The sequence below is a fragment of the Homo sapiens genome, chromosome 11 (assembly GCF_000001405.40).
Source record: "Homo sapiens chromosome 11, GRCh38.p14 Primary Assembly".
Classification (NCBI taxonomy): domain Eukaryota; kingdom Metazoa; phylum Chordata; class Mammalia; order Primates; family Hominidae; genus Homo; species Homo sapiens.
Window position 1 is genome coordinate 71,287,818 of NC_000011.10, and position 21,463 is coordinate 71,309,280.

At 46.1% G+C, this 21,463-nt stretch overlaps 2 annotated features.

Moving 5' to 3' along the window:
• Positions 11,086 to 12,285: an enhancer, noted in NCBI's record as "P300/CBP strongly-dependent group 1 enhancer chr11:71009949-71011148 (GRCh37/hg19 assembly coordinates)". NCBI's record gives its function as "activates an origin of replication core promoter dependent on BRD2, BRD4, P300/CBP, MED14 and CDK7 cofactors, with strong dependence on P300/CBP, by STARR-seq in HCT116 cells {active_cell/tissue: HCT116}" and the evidence as "EXISTENCE:reporter gene assay evidence [ECO:0000049][PMID:35650434]".
• Positions 13,370 to 14,027: an enhancer, noted in NCBI's record as "H3K27ac-H3K4me1 hESC enhancer chr11:71012233-71012890 (GRCh37/hg19 assembly coordinates)". NCBI's record gives its function as "activates a minimal SCP1, AML or CMV promoter by ChIP-STARR-seq in naive H9 embryonic stem cells {active_cell/tissue: H9 hESC(naive)}" and the evidence as "EXISTENCE:reporter gene assay evidence [ECO:0000049][PMID:30033119]".

Here is a 21,463-nt window from a genome sequence, read left to right on the forward strand (position 1 = left end):
GTCACCCTGTTGTGCTATCAAATGCTAGATCTTATTCATTCTAATTATATTTTTGTACCCATTAGCCATCCCCTTTCTCTCCTTCCCACCCCCCAACTACCCTTTGCAGCATCTGGTAACCATCATTCTACTCTCTATCTCCATGAGTTCAATTGTTTTCGTTTTTAGCTCCCACAAATAACTGAGAACATTTGAAGTTTGTCTTTCTGTGCCTGGCTAATTTCGCTTAACATAATGACCTCCAGTTCCATCCATGCTGTTGCAAATGGCAGGATCTCATTATTTTTATGACTGAATAGTACTCCACTGTGTAAACGCACTGCATTTTCTTTATCCGTTCCTCTGTCAATGGACACTTAGGTTGCTCCCAAATCTTGGCTTTTGTGAACAGTGTTGCAATAAACATGGCAGTACAAATATCTTTTCGATATACTAATATCCATTCTTTGGGGTATATACCTAGTAATGGGAATGCTGGATCATATAGCAGCTCTATTTTTAGTTTTTTGAGACACCACCAAACTGTTCTTCACAGTGGCTGTACTAATTTACTTTTCCACCAATAGTGTACGAGAGTTCCCTAATCTTCACATCCTCACCAGCATTCGTTATTGCCTGTCTTTTGGATAAAAATCATTTTAATTGGAGTGAGATGATATCTCATTGTGGTTTTGATTTGCATTTCTCTGATGATCAGTGATGTTGAACATCTTTTCATATGCCTGTTTGCCATTTGTATGTCTTTTTTTTTTTTGAGAAATGTCTATTCCAATCTTTTGTCTATTTTTTAATCAGACTATTGGATTTTTTCCTGTTGAGCTGTTTGAGCTCCTTATATATTCTGATTATTAATCCCTTGTCAGATGGGTAGTTTGCAAATATTTTCTCCCACTCTGTGGGGTGGCTCTTTACTTTGTTGATTGTTTCCTTTGCTGTGCAGAAGCTTTTTAACTTGATGTGATCCCATTTGTCCATTTTTGCTTTGGTTGCCTGTGCTTGTAGGATATTACTCAGGAAATCTTTGCCCAGTCCAATGTCCTGGAGCATTTCCCCAATGTTTTCTTTTAGTAATTTCATAGTGCGAGGTCTTAGATTTAAGTCTTTACTCCATTTTGATTTGATTTTTTTATATGGTGAGAGATAGGGGTCTAGTTTTCTTCTTCTGCATATGGATATCTAGTTCTCCCAGCACCATTTATTGAAGTGACTGTCCTTTCCCCAATGTGTGTGTTCTTGGCACCTTTGTCAAAAATGAGTTCACTGTAAATGTAGGGATATATTTCTGGGTTCTTTATTCTTTTCCATTGGTCTATGTGTCTGTGTTTATGCCAGTACCATACTGTTTTTATTACCATAGCTCTGTAGTATAATTTGAACTCAGCTAATGTGATTCCTCCAGTTTTGTTCCTTTTGTTCAGGATAGCTTTGGCTATTTTGGGTCTTTTGTGGTTCCAAATAAATTTTGGAATTATTTTTTCTATTTCTGTGAAGAATGTCATTGGTATTTTGATAGGAATTGCATTGAATTTGTAGATTGCTTTGGGTAGTATGGACGTTTTAACAGTATTGATTCTTCCAATCCATGAACATAGAATATCTTTCCATTTTTTCTGTCCTCCTCAATTTTAATTGCTTGCATCAATCTTTTATAGTTTTCATTGTAGAGATCTTTTACTTCCTTGGTTAAATTTATTCCTGGGTATTTTATTATATTTGCACCTATTGTAAATGGGATTACTTTCTGGATTTTTTTCAGATTATTTGTTGTTGGCATATAGAAATGCTATTGATTTTTGTGAGTTGATTTTGTATCCTGCAACTTTATCAAATTTTTTTTTATCAGTTCAAAGAGATTTCTGGTGGAGTATTCAGGTTTCTCCAAATATTGGATCATATCATCTGTAAACATGGTTAACTTGACTTCTTCCTTTCCAATTTGGATGCTCTTTATTTTTATCTTTTGTCTAGTTGCTCTAGCTAAGACTTACAGTGCTATGTTGAATAACAGTGGTGAAAGAAGGCATCCCTGTCTTGTTCCAGATCTTAGAGGTAAGGTTTTTAGTTTTTCTTCTTCAGTGTGACACTAGCTGTGGGTCCATCATATATGACGTTTGTTGTGTTGAGGTATGTTCCTCCCATACCCAGTTCTTTGAGAGTTTTTATCATGAAGTGATGTTGAATTTTATCAAATCCTTTTTCAGTCCAATTGAAATGCTCATATGGTTTTAATTCTGTTGATATGATGTATCACATTGATTGATTTTCATATATTGGGCCATCCTTGCATCCCTGGGATAAATCCTACTTGATCATGATGAATTATCTTTTTAATATGTTGTTGAATTTGGTTTTCAAGTATTTTTTTGAGGATTTTTTTCATCAATGTTCATCAGGGACAGTGGCCTGTAGTTTTCTTTTTCTTTTTCTTTTTGATGTGTCTTTGTCTGGTTTTGGTATCAGGGTAACACTGTCCTTGTAGAATGAATACAGAAGTATTTCCTCCTCTATTTTTCTGCATGGTTTGAGTAGGATTGGTATTAGTTCTTGTTTAAATATTGTGGTAAAATTCAGCAGTGAAGCCTTTTGGGTCTTGGGCTTTTCTTTGCTGGGAGGCTTTTTATTATGACCTCAATTGTATTACTTGTTATTGGTCTGTGAAGGTTTTGGATTTCTTCATGGGTCAATCTTTGTAGATTGTATGTGTCTAGAAATTTATCCATTTCTTTTAGGCTTTCAAATTTATTGGCATATAGCTGCTCTTAGGTGCTTCTAATGATCCTTTGCATTTCTGTGGCATCTGTTGTAATGTCTCCTTTTTCATCTCCATTCTTATTTTTGGGTCTTCTCTCTTAGTCTGGCTAAAGGTTTGTTGACATTTTTTATTCCTTTCTCAAAATTTTTTTGACTTTCTTGTCAAGTTTTGTCAAGTTTTTCTACTTCTTTGTTATAGGCATTTATTGCTATAAACTTTCTTCTTAGTACTGCTTTCATTGTATCCAATAGGTTTTGGTATGTTGTGGTTTCATTGTAATTTGTTTTGAGAATTTTTTTAACTTTTTATTAATTCCTTCATTGACCCACTGGTCATTCAGGAACATGTTGTTTAATTTCCATGTGTTTGTATAGTTTCCAAAATTCTTCTCATTATTGATTTCTAGTTTAATACAGTGTGGTCAGAGAAGGTACTTGGTATAATTTCATGTTTTTGAATTTTTAAAGACTTGTTTTGTGGCCTAACATATGCTCTATCCTTGAAAACAATCCATGTGCTGAGGAGAAGAATGTGTATTCTGCAACTGTTGGGTAAAATGTTCTGTAAATATCTATTCATTCCATTTGGTCTATACTGTAGATTAAGACTGATGTTTCTTTGTTGATTTTCTGCCTGGATGATCTGTCCAATGCCGAAGGTGGGATGTTGAAGTCTCCAGCTATTATTGTATTGGGGTCTATCTCTCTTTTAGCTCTAATAATATTTTCTTTATATATCTGTGTGCTCCAGTGTTAGGAGCATATATATTTACAATTGTTATATCCTCTTGCAGAATTGACCTGTTTATCATTATATAATGACTTTCTTTGTTCTTTTTATAGTTTTTATTCTTGAAATCTGTTAGGTCTGATCTAAGTATAGCTACACCTGCTCTTTTTTGGTTTTCACTGGCATAGAATATCTATTTTATCCCTTTATTTTCAGTCACTGTGTGTCTTTGTAGGTGAAGCATGTTTCTTGTAGGCAATAGATTGTTGGGTCTTGTTTTTATATCCATTCAGCCATGCTTATGCCTTTTGATTGAAGAGTTTAGTCTATTTACATTCAATGTTATCATTGAAAAATTAGGACTTGCCCCTGCCAATTTGTTATTTTCTGATTGTTTTGTGATCTTTTCTTCCTTCTTTCTTTCCTTCCTGTCTTCTTTTCAGTGGAGGTGATTTTTTCTCTGGTAGTATGTTTTAATGTTTTGCTTTTTATTTTTGTATATCTGTTGTATGTTTTTTGATTTGAGGTTACTATGAGGCTTACAAAAATATCTTCTTATAACCCATTATTCTAAACTCGTGAGAACTTAACACAGATTACATAAACAAACTACAAACAAGCAAATAGAAAACTAACAAAAACTCTACACTTTAACTTCATCTCCCTGTTTTTTTAACTTTTTATTGTCTCTATGTTTTACTATATCTTGAAAAGTTGTTGTAGTTATTATTTTGATATGTTAAACTCTACACTTTAACTTCATCTCCCTGTTTTTTTAACTTCATCTCCCTGTTTTTTTAACTTTTTATTGTCTCTATGTTTTACTATATCTTGAAAAGTTGTTGTAGTTATTATTTTGATATGTTAATCTTGCAGTCTTTCTACTCACAATATGAATAGTTTACATACCATAATTACAGTATTATAATATTCTGTGCTTTTCTGCGTACTTACTATTTCCAGTGAGTTTTGTACATTCAGATGATTTCTTACTGCTTATTAATGTCCTTTTCTTTCAGATTGAAGAACTGCCTTTAGTATTTCTTGTAGGAAAGGTCTGATGTTGGTGAAATCTCAGATTTTGTTTGTCTGGGAAAGTCTTTATCTCGCCTTCATGTTTGAAGGATATTTTTGTTGGATATACTATTCTAGGATAAAACGGTTTTTTTCCACATTTTAAATATGTCATACCACTCCCTCCTGGCTTGTAAGGTTTCCACTGAGAAGTCTACTGCCAGATGTATTGGAGCTCCATTGTATGTTATTTGTTTTTTTTTTTCTTGCTGCTTTTAGGGTCCTTTCTTTAACCTTGACCTTTGAAGTTTGATTATTAAATGTTTTGAGGTAGTCTTATTGGGGTTAAATCTGCATGGTATTCTATAATCATCTTACATTTGAATGTTGATATCTGTCTCTAAGTTTGTAAAGTTCTCTGTTATTATCCCTTTGAATAAACTTTTTACCCTGATCTCTCTCTCCCTACCCCCTCTTTAAGGCTAATATTGCTTAGATTTGCTTTTTTGAGACCATTTTCTAGATCTTGTAGGCACGCTTTATTCTTTTTTATTTTTTTATTTTGTCTCCTCTGACTATGTATTTTAAAATAGCCTTTCTTCAGGCTCACTAATTATTTCTTCTGCTTGATCAGTTCTGCTGTTGAGACTCTGATGAATTCAATATGTGAATTGCATTTCTTGGCTTCAGAATTTCTGCTTGATTCTTTTTAATTATTTCAATCTCTTTGTTAAATTTATCTGATAAGATTCTGAATTCCTTCTCTGTGTTATCTTGAATTTCAATGAGCTTCCTGTAAATAGTTATTTTGAATTTTCTGTGTGAAAGGTTACATACCTTTACATACATACCTTTACATCCTGGTATGTACATACATACCTTTACATACATACCTTTACATACATACCTTTACATCCTGGTATGCCCATCCAGGATTGTTCACTGGTGACTTTAGTTCATTTGGTGAGGTCGTGTTTTCCTGGATGATCCTGATACTTGTGGATGTTTGTTTGTGTCTGAGCATTGAAGAGTTAGATATTTATTGTACTTCACAGTCTGGGTGTATTAGTCAGTTCTTGCATTGCTATAAAAATATACCTGAGATTGGATAACTTATAAAGGAAAGAGGTTTAATTGGCTCATGCTTCTGCAGGCTTTATAGGAAGCATAGCAGTTTCTCCTTCTTGGGGAGCCTCTGGAAGCTTCCTATCGCAGAAGAAGGCAAAGGGGGAACAAGGCACTTCACATGATTGGAGCAGGAGGAAGTGGGGGGAGGAGGTGCCATACATTTTTAAGTGACCAGATCTCATCAGAACTCACTCACTGTCACAAAAACAGCACCAATGGGTAAATCTGCCCCCATGGTCTAATCACCTTTCATCAGGCCTCCACCTCCAACATTGGGGATTACAATTCAACTTGAGATTTGGGGTGGGAACACAAATCCAAACCATATCACTGGGCTTGTTTGTACTCATCCTTCTTAGGAAGGCCTTCCAAGTATTTGAAGAGATTTGAGTTTTGTGATGTAAGTCTTTGGTCACTGCAGCCATATCTGCATCGGGGGGCACCCCAAGCCTAACACTGTGGCTCCTACAGACTTGTAGAGGTAATGCCTTGGTAGTCTTCGGTAAGATCTGGGAGAATTTCCTGGATTACTGGGTAGAGACTTGTTCCCTTCCCTTACTGTCCCCCAAACAGAGTCTCTCTCTCTCTCTGTGCTGAACTGCCTGGAGCTGGGGGAGGGGTGATACAAGCACCCCTGTGGCCACCAACACTGGGACTATGCTGGTTCAGACCCTAAGACAGCACAGCACTGGGTCTTACCAAGGCCCATGGTGACCACTGCCTGACTACTGCTTATGTTTACTCAAGGCCCAAGGGCTCTACAGTCAGCAGGTGGTGAATCCAGGCAGGCTCGTGTCCTTCCCTTCAGGGTGACAGGTTCTCCCTGGCTGTGGGGGATTCCAAAGATGGCATCTGGGAACCAGGACCTGCAGTCAAGAACCTCAGGAAGATACCTGGTGCTCTATTCTACTGTGGCTCGGCTGGCACTCAAGCTGAAAAACAAAGTCCTTCTCACTGCCCGCTCTTCTCTCTCCTTTCCTCAAGCAGAGGAGTCTCTCTCCATGGCCACCACTGCCCCAGCCTTGTGGTGAGTACTGCCCAGCTACTGCTGATGTTCACTCAATGCCCATGAGCTCTTCAATCAGCTTGTGGTCAATGCTTCCAGGCCTGTGTCTCTCCCTTCAAGGCAGTGGGCTCCCCCTCTGGCCCAGGACAGGTACAGAAATGCTGTCCAAGAGCCAAGGCCTGCAAGTGGGGACACCAGCAGCCCACTTGGTGCTATACTCCACTGTAGCTGACCTGGTACCCAAGCTGCAAGACAAAGTCCCCCTTTCTCCTCTCTCTACTTTCCTCAAGGAGAAGGAGTCTCTCTCCCCATAGCCACCACATCTGGGAAGGTTCTGGGTCATGTCTGAAGCCAGCATGGCTCTGAGCCTCACCCAAGGCCTGCAACAAGTAATTCTTGGATAGTGCTGCTGATTATTCAGGACTCAGGGGCTCTGTAGTCAGTTGGTGATGAATCCTGCCAGGACTGGGTCCTTCTCTTCAAGGGAGCAGGTTTCCTCCTGTTCCGGGGTGTGTCTAGAAATGTCGTCCAGGAGCTAGGGCCTGGAATAGAGGCCTCAGGACTATGCCAAGCAGAGGGACGGAGTCTCTTCTGGAGCTGTGAGCTGCACTGCCTGGGATTGGAGGATGGGTGGTGCAAGCACTCCCATAGCTGCCCCGACTGGTGTCTCACTAGGTCATGTGCAGCCCAAGTCCACTGGCTCTTAGCTCAGCACCAGGACTTGCCCAGGGATTACAGTCCTTGTGGCCTAGACTTCCTTCGAGTTTACTTAGAACCCCAGAGCACTTTAGTTCATGGTGTCAGGGCTTGCTGGAACTCAGGTTTTGACCACTGAGATGGGTGGTTTCCCTCCAGCTAAGGTTGGTCTAAATGCTCCCTCCATGATCACCAGCTGAGTTCTGCCATGTGTTGCTTTCTGCTGTGACAGCACAGCACGGAGTTCCAATGCAAAGTCCCACAATCACTGCATTATACCTCCCCAGAGTGCACAGATTCTCCCTCCATGCCACGCGGCTGCTGCCAGGGGATGGGGGATAGGTGGCATCAGCAATTCAAGGCTGACTTTCCTGCCCTCTTCAGTGCATCTTTCCTTAATATGAAGTTAAAACCAGGTACCATGATTGCGCACCTGTATTTGGTTTTTACAAAGGTGCTTTTCTTGTGTGGATAGTTGTTCAATTTGGTGTTCTGTGGGGGGTGGGGAATGGTGATCACTGGAGCCTTGCATTGAGCCATCTTGCTCTGCTTCCCGACCTCGAGATTGAGTTCTATCCACAAACCAGGAGACACAGGAATTACACTTTTGTGGCTGATTACCTCCTTAACATTATTAAGACATGGAGCCATTTCCCTGGACACAAATGTGAAGTCACCGTGTAAAGGGCAGGAAGGAGCCTACCCTGGCAGTGATGTCAGGCAGGACCAAGATGGCGGCCATGGAGACACCTGTGAACGGGTGTGCTTGGGTTAGAAATGATTATCAAGCACAACAGCAACGTGCTACCAAGTTTGTGATCTGGGGAAAGAGAACACAATACAGAAACAAAGGGGGCATTGCACAGGGGAAGGTGCAACATAAAGCTACTGTCTATAGACTCAATCACCTACTGCACATGCACACGAGTACCGAGAACCTGCCTGGTGGTTGATGCACCCTTTTCCCAGATGCAGACATGAAGGAGATGTGGGTCCCTGCCTCATGAGCCAGATTCATGTAGAAACCAATGACTTCAGGGCAATATAGATGCCAGTGGCTTTTTCTGTGGTGTAGGGCTGCCAGATTCAGCAAATAAAAATGCAGGATACAAAAAGATGCTACACATCTCATGTCATCATCAGGGAACTGCACATTAAAAAAAACGATGTAGGCCAGGTGCGGTGGCTCATGCCTGTAATCCCAGCACTTTGGGAGGCCGAGGCAGGCAGATCACGAGGCCAGGAGATCGAGACCATCCTGCCTAACACGGTGAAGCCCTGTCTCTACTAAAAATACAAAAAGAAATTAGCCAAGCATGGTGGTGGGCACCTGTAGTCTCAGCTACTCGGGAGGCAGAGGCAAGAGAATGGTATGAACCTGGGAGGCAGAGCTGGCAATGAGCCGAGATCGTGCCACTGCACTCCAGCCTGTGTGACAAGGTAAGACTCCGTCTCAAAAAAAAACCAACAACAATGTAATGCCACTACACACCTGTTAGAGTGCCCCAAATCTGACACACTAACAACAACAAATGCTGGGGAGGAGGTGGAGCAACAGGAACTCTCATTCATTGCTGGTGGGAAAACAAAATGGTACAGCCACTGTGGAAGACAGTTTGGCCATTTCTTGCAAAACTAAACATACTCTAACCATATAAACCAGCAATTATACTCCTCAGTATTTACCTAAGGACTTGAAACTTAAGTCCACACAAAAATCTGCACACAAGTGTTTATAGCAGCTGTATTCACAATTGCCCAAACTTGGAAGCAACTGAGATGTCCTTCAGTAGAGTAGATACATAAGCTGTGGTACATCCAGACAATGGAATTCTATTAGCAATAAAAAGAAATGAGGTACCAGCCATGAAAAGAAGTGGAGGAGTCTTAAATGCATATCGCTACATGAAAGAAGCCAGACTGAGAATGCTGCACACTTTAAGATCCCAGATAACGATATGACATTTTGAAAAAGGCAGCACTATGGAGACTATGGAAATACGATGGTCGCGATGGGTATGCAAGTACAATGGTTGTGATGGGTTGAGGAGAGGGAGGGATGAAGAGGTGGACCACAGAGGATTTTTTTTACTTTTTTTCTTTTTTTGAGACAAGGTCTCACTCTGTTGCCCAGGCTGAAGTGCAGTGGCGGTATCAGGGCTTGGCTCATGCAGCCTCAGACTCCTGGGTTCAAGGGATCCTCCCACCTCAGCCTCCTGAGTAGCTGGGACCATAGGCATGCACCACTACACTTGGCTAATTTTTCTTTTTTTGTGGAGATGGGGGTCTCACTATGTTGCCCAGGTTGTTCTTGAACTCCTGGGCTCAAGTGATCCTCCCTTCTCAAGTCTCTCAAAGTGCTGGAATTACATGCATGAGCCACTGCGCCTGGCTTCAGGAGATCTTTAGGGCAGTGTAATGATTCTGTTTAATACTGTAATGGTGAAGACATGTCATTGTAACGTTTGTCCAAACCCACAGAATGTGCAACCCTGAGAGTGATCCCTAATGTAAACTATGGACTTTAAGTGACGATGTGTCCATGTAGGTTCATCAGTTGTAACCAATGCACCACTCTGGTAGGAATGTTGGCAATGGGGGAGGCTGTACATGTGCGGAGGCGGGGGTATATGGGAACTCTCTTTCTGCTCAATTTAGCTGTGCACATTAAACTGCTCTTAAAACAAGGATGAGCTGTAGTTGAATCTTTTTAAATGCAGGATTCACAGGCAATATGAATTTCAAGTAAGCAATGGATAAATGTTTTAGTGTAAGTATATCCCATGCTATATTTGGGACATACTTATCTTAAACATTTTTTTTGCTGGCAAGCTTACTTTAGAGAGAGATGTAAGAAGAGTCAGAAAATTCAGAGAAGTGGGTGTTGTTTCTTAGTGAACAAGGGGCCAGAGGGTTTGGACCAGTGGTTTCTGGTTCTGAGGAGGGATGTGGCCACCTGACTGCCTCTGCTTCCTCTCCCAGATGGAAGGTGCAGGTCTCTGTTGTATAAAAGGAGGAGGCCAGAGCCCTAGGCTTTGCTTAAAACAGTCTCAGAAATAGGCAGGTCTGCTGTGTTTCCCCATCCAAGGACCCAGTCACACCTCGCTTAGAGGTGGACGGCATCCCCTGGTCCTGTGAGAGCATCCCCTGGTCTGGTGTGGGCACCACAGGCACGGCTGTAGGGGCAGCCCACAGGCCAGGCTTCATGGACGAGCTGCTTCAAGTTACAGCATTTCAGATGCCCTTCGGCACCTGCCGATGTTCTCCGGGACACTGAGGTTTTGGTCGTGGGCATTATGTCAACAGTTTAAAATAGGCATTTTTAGAATCCTGTGATATAATTGCTTTCAGATTCAGCCTTTAAAAAAAGTTTCTTTGAGCCTATGGTGGCTCCAATTCAGAAGAGAACATCTTCTAAGTCACTCCGTGAGACCCACATTTCAGTAGCAGTCTTATGCCATTTCGTTCATTAAACAAGTATTTATTGAGTGCCTGCTGTATGCCAGACACAGTCTGAAGATGCAGCAGGGAACTAGCCACACCCCTGCCCTCAGGAAGCTGACCTTCCAGTGGGGAGACATCAGCAATAGAAGTAAATAATCAATATGCTGGGGACCACCAGGGATGTAAAGAAAGCTGGGTGCGGTAGGCAGGGTACGGCCTCCCAGTGAAGTGTCCAATCCCGGGAGCCTGCGAATATCTTACCTGATGTGGAAAAAGGGGCCATGTAGATGTGACTAGGGCCTTGAGGCGGGGAGATGATCCTGGATTATTTGGATGGGCACGGTGTCATCACAGAGTCCTTAGGATAGGGAGGCGGGGTCCCTGTGGGTAGGAGATGTGGCAACACAAGTGGAAGTCTATTCAGCATGGGACAGAGACTGGAAGATGCTACGCAGCTAGTTTGGCCTCGCAGGTAGGGACCACGAGCCGAGCCAAGGACCACAGGCGGCCGCTAGAAGCCAGACAAGGCAAGGAAACAAGTTCTCCCCGGAGCCTCCAGCAGAACCCAACCCTGATGACCCCTTGATTTTAGCCCAGTGAGACTCCAGACTTTCAGAATTGCTACAGAATAAATGTCTTGTTTGAAGCTACTAAGTTTGTGGTCCTTTGTTGCAGCATCCCCAGGGCACTCCTACGCGAGGTCAGGAAGTGAATTTAATGTTAGTGTAGGGACGGGGGACAGGAAAGTCCTGCCTGACAAGGTGACATTTAAGCGGATGCAGGGTAAAGCGTGGCTTGTTCTGCGGCAGCAGCCACGCTGATCCAGAGCTCAGAGCCCAGCCCAACACTGGGGGACGTGACACAGTGAGGAAGTATGAAGCTCCAGCAGGAACGCCAGCCAGAGGGAGCACCAGGAATGAGTCATGTCAGCCTGGACGTGCCCAGCCCCAAATTCCAGCATAGCTGCTCACCAGCCAGTCACTCGACCTCCCCAAACGTGCTTGTTCTGTTTGTCATCAGTTCAGTGATGTGGCCACAGAATCCGCTCCAAAGGGCCGCGTGGTGGGTTGCGTGGTGACTTCCCGCAGAGGGTACATCCACCCAGGACCTGTGTGTGCGGCCTTGTTTGGAAAAAGGGTCTTTGCAGATGTGATTAAGGAAATGCTGAGGTTATTCTGCATGGGAGCGGCTGTACCTCCAGCGTCCTCATGAGAGAAGAGAAGGGAAGGGCAGAGGACACGGAGGGGATGTGATGGAAACACAGAGCAGACACTGGGGTGATGCATCTACATTCCCAGGAGCATCGTGGATCACCAGCAGGTACCAGATCCCAGAAGAGACAAGGAAGGACCCTCCCCTAGAGCCTCCAGAGGAACCAGCCCTGTGACACCTTGATTTTCGACTTCTGGCCTCCAGCCGGGCGTGGTGGCTCACACCTGCAATCCCAGCAGTTCGGGAGGCTGAGGCAGGTGGATCACTTGTGGTCAGGAGTTTGAGACCAGCCTGGCCAACATGGTGAAACCCCGTCTCTACTAAAAATACAAAAATTAGCCAGATATGGTGACACATGCCTGTAATCCCAGCTACTCAGGAGGCTGAGGCAGGAGAATCGATTGAACCCGGGAGGCAGAGGTTGCAGTGGGCCGAGATTGTGCCATTGCACTCCAGCCTGGGAGACTCCATTTCAGACAAACAAACAAAAAACTGGCCTCCAGAACTGTGACACTAATAGATTTCTGTTGTTTCAAGCCTCCGAGTTTGTGGTTCCCATTTGTTCTGGCAGCTCTAGGAAACTAAAACAAGCTTCGAGGAGGAAAAAGAAAACAAGCATGAAAAGTTCCTATGCACAGGAGGCCCTCACTACGAATTAGCCCTGATTGCTACAAGCCAAGAGCCATTTCTAGAGAACAGACCAAGGAATAAAAATGTGCGCTCTGTTTATCACAACTGGAAAACCAAAGAACAAAAGGGAGAAGTGGCCACCCAGCGCAGATAAAAATATTTAACAATGTTCTATTTCACAATTTTGCCTGGTCTGCTACCCAGACTTGATGATCAATGAGGAGTTTTCTCTTTTTTTTTTTTCCCAACCAAAAAGAACGTGTTGCATAAATTCAGGTTTCCAGGGACCTGAGAAAGGCAGAAAAACAGCCTCTCAAGCTCTCCCCATCAGCCAGGCAGTGGCCTCAGCTTTCCAAACCTCATCAGTGAAACCCTGGGGACGGACTGATGTGGAATAGCCCAGGGAAGGAGGCAGGGGCCTTTTCTAATGACTCTGAAGAAGCCAGGCACAGCTGCTGCCAGGAAAATGAAAGACACAGGTACTGACAATGGAAATTGAATGGAGGTTTTGGAGAAAATGCAGGCAGAAGCAAAGATTTAGGACGTATCTATATCCGAGGTCTTTCCTGGAGAGATGCCTTCTTGGAAGCTGGGTACATCTTCTTACAGAACAAATAGAAGGCTTGCCAGCCTTCTGCTCTCAGCTTCTGAGAATGACTCCATTTGTCACCGCACGCGCTTGTCCCATCTCTGCAGGCAGCTTTGGATGGTGTCCCTCAGGACTCCGTATCTGGCTAATTTTTGTATTTTTAGTAGATACGGGGTTTCACCCTGTTGGCCAGGCTGGTCTTGAACTCCTGACCACAAGTGATCCACCTGCCTTGGCCTCCCGAACTGCTGGGATTGCAGATGTGAGCCACCATGCCCGGCTGGAGGCCAGAAGTTGAAAATCAAGGTGTCACAGGGCTGCTTCCTCTGGAGGCTCTAGGGGAGGGTCCTTCCTTGTCTCTTCTAGAATCTGGTACCTGCTGGTGATCCACGATCCTCCTGGGAATGTAGATGGTGTTTACCAGGGTGCACAGGATAGGGGATAGTGAGAGTCTGAAATCACAGGGCCAGAGTGGAGTTGGAGGGTGACTGGAGGCCCTCTGTCCCTAGAGACCTGGGCCGAGCCAGTTTCCTCACCCGTTAGCCAGGCTGGGTTGCTCGGCGGCCCAGGACACAGCACGACCCCTGCAGGGGCCCAGCTGGGAAACTTCCAGAGCAACCTGCCTACAGGAGGGCAGTGCTGGTCTGACCTGTGTTAAGGAGGGACGGCAGGATGAACTGCCCACCTCGAACAGCCCCTCTTTCCCCGGCGTGTCATGAAAGCCCCTCCTCTGGGGACCCTGTTAGAGTGAACTGCTTCTTCCACAGTTCTTCCAGAACATGCGGCTTATGGCCCCATCACAACACCTGGCATGCTGCTAAGGAGCCGTCAGGAGACAGAAACCACACGGGTATTTCGGCAGCCAGAATTTAATAGAGAAGAATACAGAAGGGATGCTAGCTGGGTGCCAGTGACTTCTCCCCAGCTGATCCACGCACGGTGAGAACTCAGACGTCATGAAGACAACAACAGCAGGACTCAGCCACTCCCACGGAGGTGAGGCTGCCACCATAACAGCAAGGAAGCCAGGAAGTGCAGCCCACAGGGCGTAAACTGAGACTTCCAAGGAGGAAGCGCTGGCTGGCTGGCTAGCTGGGGGGTGTCTCTTGGGGGTGGGGGACACAGGGTCCCTGGTTCGTGAGGGTTGGGAAAATCATAGGCAAGATCCTTTCTGCTATGGGAAGGAAAGAAAAAGAAAGGAGCAGCAGCAGCAGCCGTAGGAGCAGCAGCAGCAGTAGGAGCATGGCCAGAACAGGATCGAGGGACAAAACCTTCCCCATCCAGCCCCGCAGTCCCCTCCAGCATCCCCTGTGCGAGCCAGCCAGGCGCCAAGAACGCCCAGTGTGCAAGGGCAGCTGTGACATGGAGAGGCCAGGGTCACGCACACCCCTTGGGCTGTGCAGCCTCTGTACGCACCCTTCTTCTCCTATTTGCACATCTCTCCAACAGCAAGGCAACTTAAGCTTCTGTCTAACAAGCTGCAAGCATCCTCCACACAAATGAAGATTTTTCTTACCCTCTCCCCCAACTGAGGAGCTGTAGAAGCCATCAGTCATTGTGTCTGTCTTTGGCAGCTGGTCCTAGCACTACCTCTGGGCCATGCCAGATCTTTCTCCTCCTTCTCCTCCTCCTCTTCTTCTTCTTCTTGACAGGGTTTTGCTCTGTCACCCAGGCTGAAGTGCAGTGGTGCTTTCGCAACTCACTGCAGCCTGGCTAGGCTCTAGTGACCCTCCCACTTCAGCCTTTCCAGTAGCTGGGACCACAGGCATGTACCACCATGCCCTGATAATTTTTGAATTTTTTGTAGAGATGGGGGTCTTACTATGTTGCCCAGGGTAGCCTTGAACTCCTGAACTCAAGGGATCTTCTCCTCTCAGCCTCTCAAAGTGCTGGGATTGCAGGTGTGAGCCACTGCCCCAGCTGAGATAGTTCTTAAATCCAATCACCACTTTGATTAGTCCTCTACAGCTGATGTAGCAAATTACCACAAATGTAGTGGCTTCAAATGACACCAATTTATTGCTGCTGTGGTTGAGGAGGTGAAAAGTCAGACAAAAGTCTCACTGGGCTAAAGTCAAGGCATCAGCAGGGCTGGTTCCCTCTGGGCCCTCTAGGGGACAATCTGTTTCCTTGCTTTCTCCAGCCTCTCGAGGCTGCCCAGTGTCTTGGCTGCTGGGCCCTTTCTCCATCTTTTAAGGAGAAACATTGCCTCTTTCGCTCCACTCTTCCAGCTCCCTCTGAACATAGCTGGGAAAGGTTCTTTGCTTTTAAGGATTCATGGGAGTAGGTTTGGCCCATCTGGAAAATCCAGAATAACCTCCCTGTCTCTGAGATCCCACTTTAATCGCACCTGCCAAGTCTCTCTTGCCAGGTAAGGTCACATGTTTGCAGGTTCCAGGGATAAGGATGTGAATGTCTTTGGGGTCCATTGTTCTGCCTACCACAGAGTCCCTTCCGAAAATTCCGTTGGCTACAGACTAAATCAGAAAGCTGATCCCTAACAAAATATGTTTAAAGAATGAGAAGAGAGACAAAAAAATAGTGAATGTCCATAAAAACAATCCCGTGTATGTAGGGATACATGTGCCCATCAGAAGCAAGGCCAGGACACCTGCGCATGGCCATGGTCTGTGTTTCTACAGCTGCCATCATGAGCCCTCTTCCACCATCATTTCATGTCCCCTTTGACCTCAGTTGGGTGGGGTGTCTTACCTGGGTGGGGGAACCAGACACTCATTCCTGAAGGGTCTGAATCCTCAATGGTCTGTCTTTTTGGGGGATAGTTCACCACTCACTTGTACTATTAATTATGCAAGAACCAACAGGCACCCCAGAGAATCCTTTGGGTCTAGAACTAGTCTCCTTCCTCCCCACCATCCCACATCATGTAGCAGCAACTAAATTTCCCCTTGGCAATTGGGATCCATCACTCTGGCCGGTATAGTGACCTTCCTCTTTTCCTGCAGGTTCAGTGGTGTATGGAGCCCAAAATGGCCATGTAATCATCTCGTTTTCCACTTCACTGGAACCAATGTTGTGTCTCCAGGTGGAAACATCCTGTGCAAACCAGCAACACTCAAAATTGCAAAAGTGGGAAGCAAACACTCTGCAAGTGGGTTACGGGATGGCATAGCAGACCAACCATAGGCATTTACCTCCTTAGAGTTTCAGAAGACAGTGTGGCCTCAGAAGATCTGCAAGGATTTGAGGACTGGGCACTTGTCTGAGTCCTTTCTGAATCCCTAAGGTCTTGTCCAGGGTTTGATACAGCAAGATGCCCCCAACTCAGCAGATATTTCTAAATGCAGATGTACCCAGTCTTTCTTTTCCAGGACATCCTAAGCATCCAGAGAACCACCCTGTGTCTACATCCCCCCAAGAGCCACCTTGCCCAAACATGGACATGGTAAGGTCTCTAGTCTACATCCAGAGACCAACCCATAGAAGATTAATACATGTTTGAAATTGGATTGAATTTCCTTGATAATTAGTCAGAATATGAATGCCTCATTTCTTAAGCCATGATCAAGAATCCATACCCTTCTATGAATTAGTCCATAAACTCTCCATCAAAAAGTGGAATGGGCCCAGGCATGGCGGCTCATGCCTGTAATCCCAGCACTTTGGGAGGCCAAAGTGGGAGGATCACTTGAGTCTGGGAGTTCAACTCCATCTTAGGCAACATAGCAAGACCCTATCTCCACAAAAACAACCAGGCATGGTGGCGTGCACCTGTGGTTCCAACTGCTCGGGAGGCTGAGGTGGGGGGATCACTTAAGCCTGGGAGGTCAAGGCTGCAGTGAGCTATGATGGTGCCACTGCACTCCAGCCTGGGAGACAGAGTGAGAGACTCTGTGTTCAAAAAATAAAAAAGGAGAATGGAAAAAGAGAGAGAAATAGTATGGAAGCCCAAGACATGCTGTAGCGGGTTAAACAATGCCCCTCAAAGTACATGTCTAAGTCATAACCCTGGGACCTGTGAATGTCCCCTATTTGGAACTAGTATCTTTGCAGATGTGATTAAGTGAAGGATCTCTAGATGAAACCATTCTGGATTCAAGGTGGGCCCTAAATGCAATGACGCGTGTTCTCATAGAAGAGAGAAAGACTCAGAGCCTCCAAGGAGAAGGCCATGTGAGTGAGGACAGAGGCCAAGATTGGAGCAATGCGTCCACAAACCAAGGAGTGCCAGGCCTGCTGGCCACTACCAGGAGCTGGGAGAGGCAAGGAAGGATCCTCCTCTAGAGCCTTTGGAGGGAGCCCGGCCCTGCTGCCACCTTGATTTTGGACTTCTGGCCTCTGGAACTGTGAGAGAAGACATTTCTGTTGTTTAAGCCCTCCAGTGTGTGGCGAATCATTACAGCAGCCACAGGAAACTCACACTTATCCCTAGCGGGATGTCAGGCCAGGTGCAACCGCACAAGGGACCCATATGGGCGCCATCGGCCAGCAGAGAGGGCTATAGAAGGCGCGGCAACAAAGAGGGGACGGGTGCCCCAGGAAACACACCCACCTGCCCCTCCCAACTGTGTCCAGCACTCCTGGTGGGCAGCAGACTCGGGGCAGTCGAAGTGGAACCAGCTCTGCCAATGGGAGCCTGGGGATCTGCAGTGGCCCCTGTGTGGGCTGGGAAGCTCCAGACTCATAATTGGGGACACGGTAGAACCCTTGGTCAAACTGACGCCCACCTCCAAGAGGAAGGCTTTCCAGGCAAATTCAGCAGGTGGAAGGGGCTGTGCGTCTCCACACCTTACGTGACCAGGTCACTTAGGGCTTACGAGACAGTGGCAAAAATACAATTGTTCTCCCGCCAGGGCGGGACCCAGAATGAACTAACCCACAGCCTGAGAGGCAGGAGGGCAGCATGGAGTCATCCAGAATGTTTTCCTTCAATGAAAGAATGAGGAGGGACCAGGAAACCAGGAGAAAATGAAAGTGCCACTGGAAGGGCTGTGGGTGGGGGGCGGGGACAGTGGAGTCATCAGGGAAATGGGCAGACCTCAGGTTCCCTCTCGTTTGAACGTGTGGGGACTTAGAAAACCTGAAGCCATCCAGAGAAGAATGAAAGCTGGGCCAGGGTTTGCGGAGACACTTTCTTTTCTTTTCTTTTCTTTCTTTTTTTCTTTTCTTTTTTTTAGACAGAGTTTTGCTCTTGTTGCCCAGGCTGGAGTGCAATGGCGTGATCTCGGCTCACTGCAACCTCCGCCTCCTGGGTTCAAGCAATTCTCCTGCCTTAGCCTCCCAAAGTAGCTGGGATTACAGGCACCCCCCAAAATGCCCAGCTAGTTTTTTTGTACTTTTAGTCAAGACAGGGTTTCACCACGTTGGCCAGGCTGGTCTCGAACTCCTGACCTCAGGTGATCCACCTGCCTCGGCCTCCCAAAGTGCTGGGATTACAGTCATGGTCCACCATGCCTGGCTGTGGAGACTCATTCTAACCAGACAACTTAATCGCTTCTATCTGCAAATACACAATTCCTCTGGAAGCAAAGAATGAGGCCGCAATTGCGTAATTTGAACTTTTGTGCAGCCTTATGAACTGATGCCTGGAAAAGACTTTGCCTGGTTTTCCTGTGCAAACATAAAAAGTGGTGAAGTGTTAGGCAGGTGGTCCGTTCGGCTCCCCAGCAACCCCTTCCCACATGTCTGTTGGGCAGTGAACACATTTTTTTCTTTTTCTTTTCTTTTCTTTTTTTTTTTTTTTTGAGACGGAGTCTCACTCTGTTGCCCAGGCTGGAGTGCAGTGGCGTGATCTCGGCTCACTGCAAGCTCCGCCTCTTGGGTTCACGCCATTCTCCTGCCTCAGCCTCCCAAGTAGCTGGGACTACAGGCGCCCGCCACCATGCCCGGCTAATTTTTTGTATTTTAATAGAGACAGGGTTTCACCGTGTTAGCCAGGATGGTCTCGATCTCCTGACGTCGTGATCCACCCGCCTCGGCCTCGCGAAGTGCTGGGATTACAGGCGTGAGCCACCTCGCCCGGCCCAAACACATTTTTTTTAAAGTGACACCTTTCCAGCAAAACGTTCAAGGTCCCGTGTTGACACAGCGCCTGTGAAAATCTGTCACAGGGGAGAGCAAAAGCAAACACAGCCTTTCTAGAGGTGCTGCAACCTTGGCTGTTCTGTAAAGGGCATGAAGAAGGGTGATCCCCCTTAATATCTCTGTGCCCCTAACCAAGGGCTGCAGGCTGTGCCCCCAGGATCTTGCAAGTCACATGAGAACTTTGTTGCGTGCTCTGGTAACGAGCCAGCCCAGAACCCAAGCAGCTCGTAGCAGCTTTAAAGCAATGACATCGTTTATGTTTCTCTTTCACACCACATGGGTGTGGGGGGGTAGGAGGGACCTGGGCATATCTGCGGGGGGCTAGTGTGTTTGCGCTGCTCAGATGGTGGCTGCTCTGGGGTCATTTGAAGGCTTCCTCCCTCGTCTGATGGTGGCACTGTCTGCTGACTGGGACCTTAGCTGGGCTGTTGGCCAGAGCTCTGTTAACTTAAAAATCACACAATCTGTAAATTTAGCAAAGGAGACCCTTCCATGTCTTGTAAAGGACTGCAGCCTGCAGGGTGCTCCTTTGGAGAGGCTGGGAAGCTTGGCCTCTGGTAGAGACTGGAAACTGGCACTTCAGAGGAGGAGGAGTTGGATGAGAATTTAAGCTGAATGGGTTGGCCCGGTATACATATTTAACAGGTTACAAGGGGAGCCATAATATGTTTATAATTTGGTCTCTTATTACCACAAAGAGTCTGTTCCATCAGTCTCATGATCTCTATTTTAACATTAATGCTGGTCACTCATGTCTAAACTGCGTAAAGGAATGGGTATAACGGGCTGTGTCTGACTTGCCATCTCCCCATGGTCATCTCTGACTCTGTGGCTGGCAGCTGTCTCTGCACATGTCTGCAGGGCTCTGCACTGGGTCCCCATGAGCAGAGTCAGTCCCAGCTCTTCCTCTCCAGGGTCTGGGTTATACAACTCAGCAGGAACATCCCTAAATCAGCTCACTCAGGAGGCTGGAGGTGGTGGCAGGTTCTCTCCCTCTGCCCGCCCCAGCCAGCAGCAGCTGCTCACTGTCAATCCCTAAAGGGGACCCAGAGGATGCCAGGAATGGGGATGGGGGCAGCCTGGGGAGCAGCCCCTCCCTCTCTGCACTGCAGATGCTAAACCCTGCTGGGAATCAAGGGGGTCTCACACCCCACTGTCACTCTGGTTAATGAGCAATTTGCTGGAAATCAACTCCTCTGCCTTTGCTCTAGCCTATTATCTAGCAAATGAATAATTTTTGATCATTATTGACAAATTTCTGAAGCAGCATTATTGGAGTGTTTAGTGACTCGGAGCTTACACTGTATGATGGCCTGTTACTCAACGGCAGCTCTGGGGTAGCTTTCTGCTGCAAAGTCAACTTTAATGGGCCTCAAAGCATCTGCCACAGGAAATGACAATACAGCCTTTGTGTATGTGCCTCCACCTGCCCCACCAAACCAGGTAAATTGATGCCACAGTGGAGGACCCATGTGCTTATTTGGAATGAGAATAAGGTGGACTGGTAGAATTATCTAGAAGGAAAAAGTAGGGTTTAGTAAAGCCTTTAATTAGGTAGTGCTCTGTGCCACCAAGTCCATTATGATGAGTCAAACACACCCCTGTCCACAGAGTGAAGCCAAGGAGATAGTTGGTGTCAGGGCTCCCTGACAGCATCTCTTTCTGAAGACATGCACCTTAACTCCTAAACTTTGACCCCTGAGCAGCAGGTGGTCTTAAAGAAGACACTCGGCCAGACGCGGTGGCTCACGCCTGTAATCCCAGCACTTTGGGAGGTGGAGGTGGGCTGATCTCGAGGTTAGGAGTTCGAGACTATCCTGGCCAAGATGGTGAAATCCTGTCTCTACTAAAATACAAAAAATTAGCCGGGCCTGGTGGCAGGCGCCTGTAGTCCCAGCTACTCGGGAGACTGAGGCAGGGGAATCACCTGGACCTGGGGGGCAGAAGTTGCAGTGAGCTGAGCTGGCACCACTGCACTCCAGGCTGGCAACAGAGCAGGACTCTGTCTCAAAAAAAAAAAAAAAAAAAAAAAGAAGAAGAAGAAGAAGACACTCTAGGCTGCTCGTCAGGAGGCCTGGTTTTAGTCCTCCGTGGGACCATGAGTGAGCACCTTACCCTCTGTCATCCACTCCGTGATGGTGTGCTTCCTGTGTACCAGGTGTGAACCCAAATATCTGAGACAGGCCTCAATCCATTTGGAAAGTTTATTTTGCCAAGG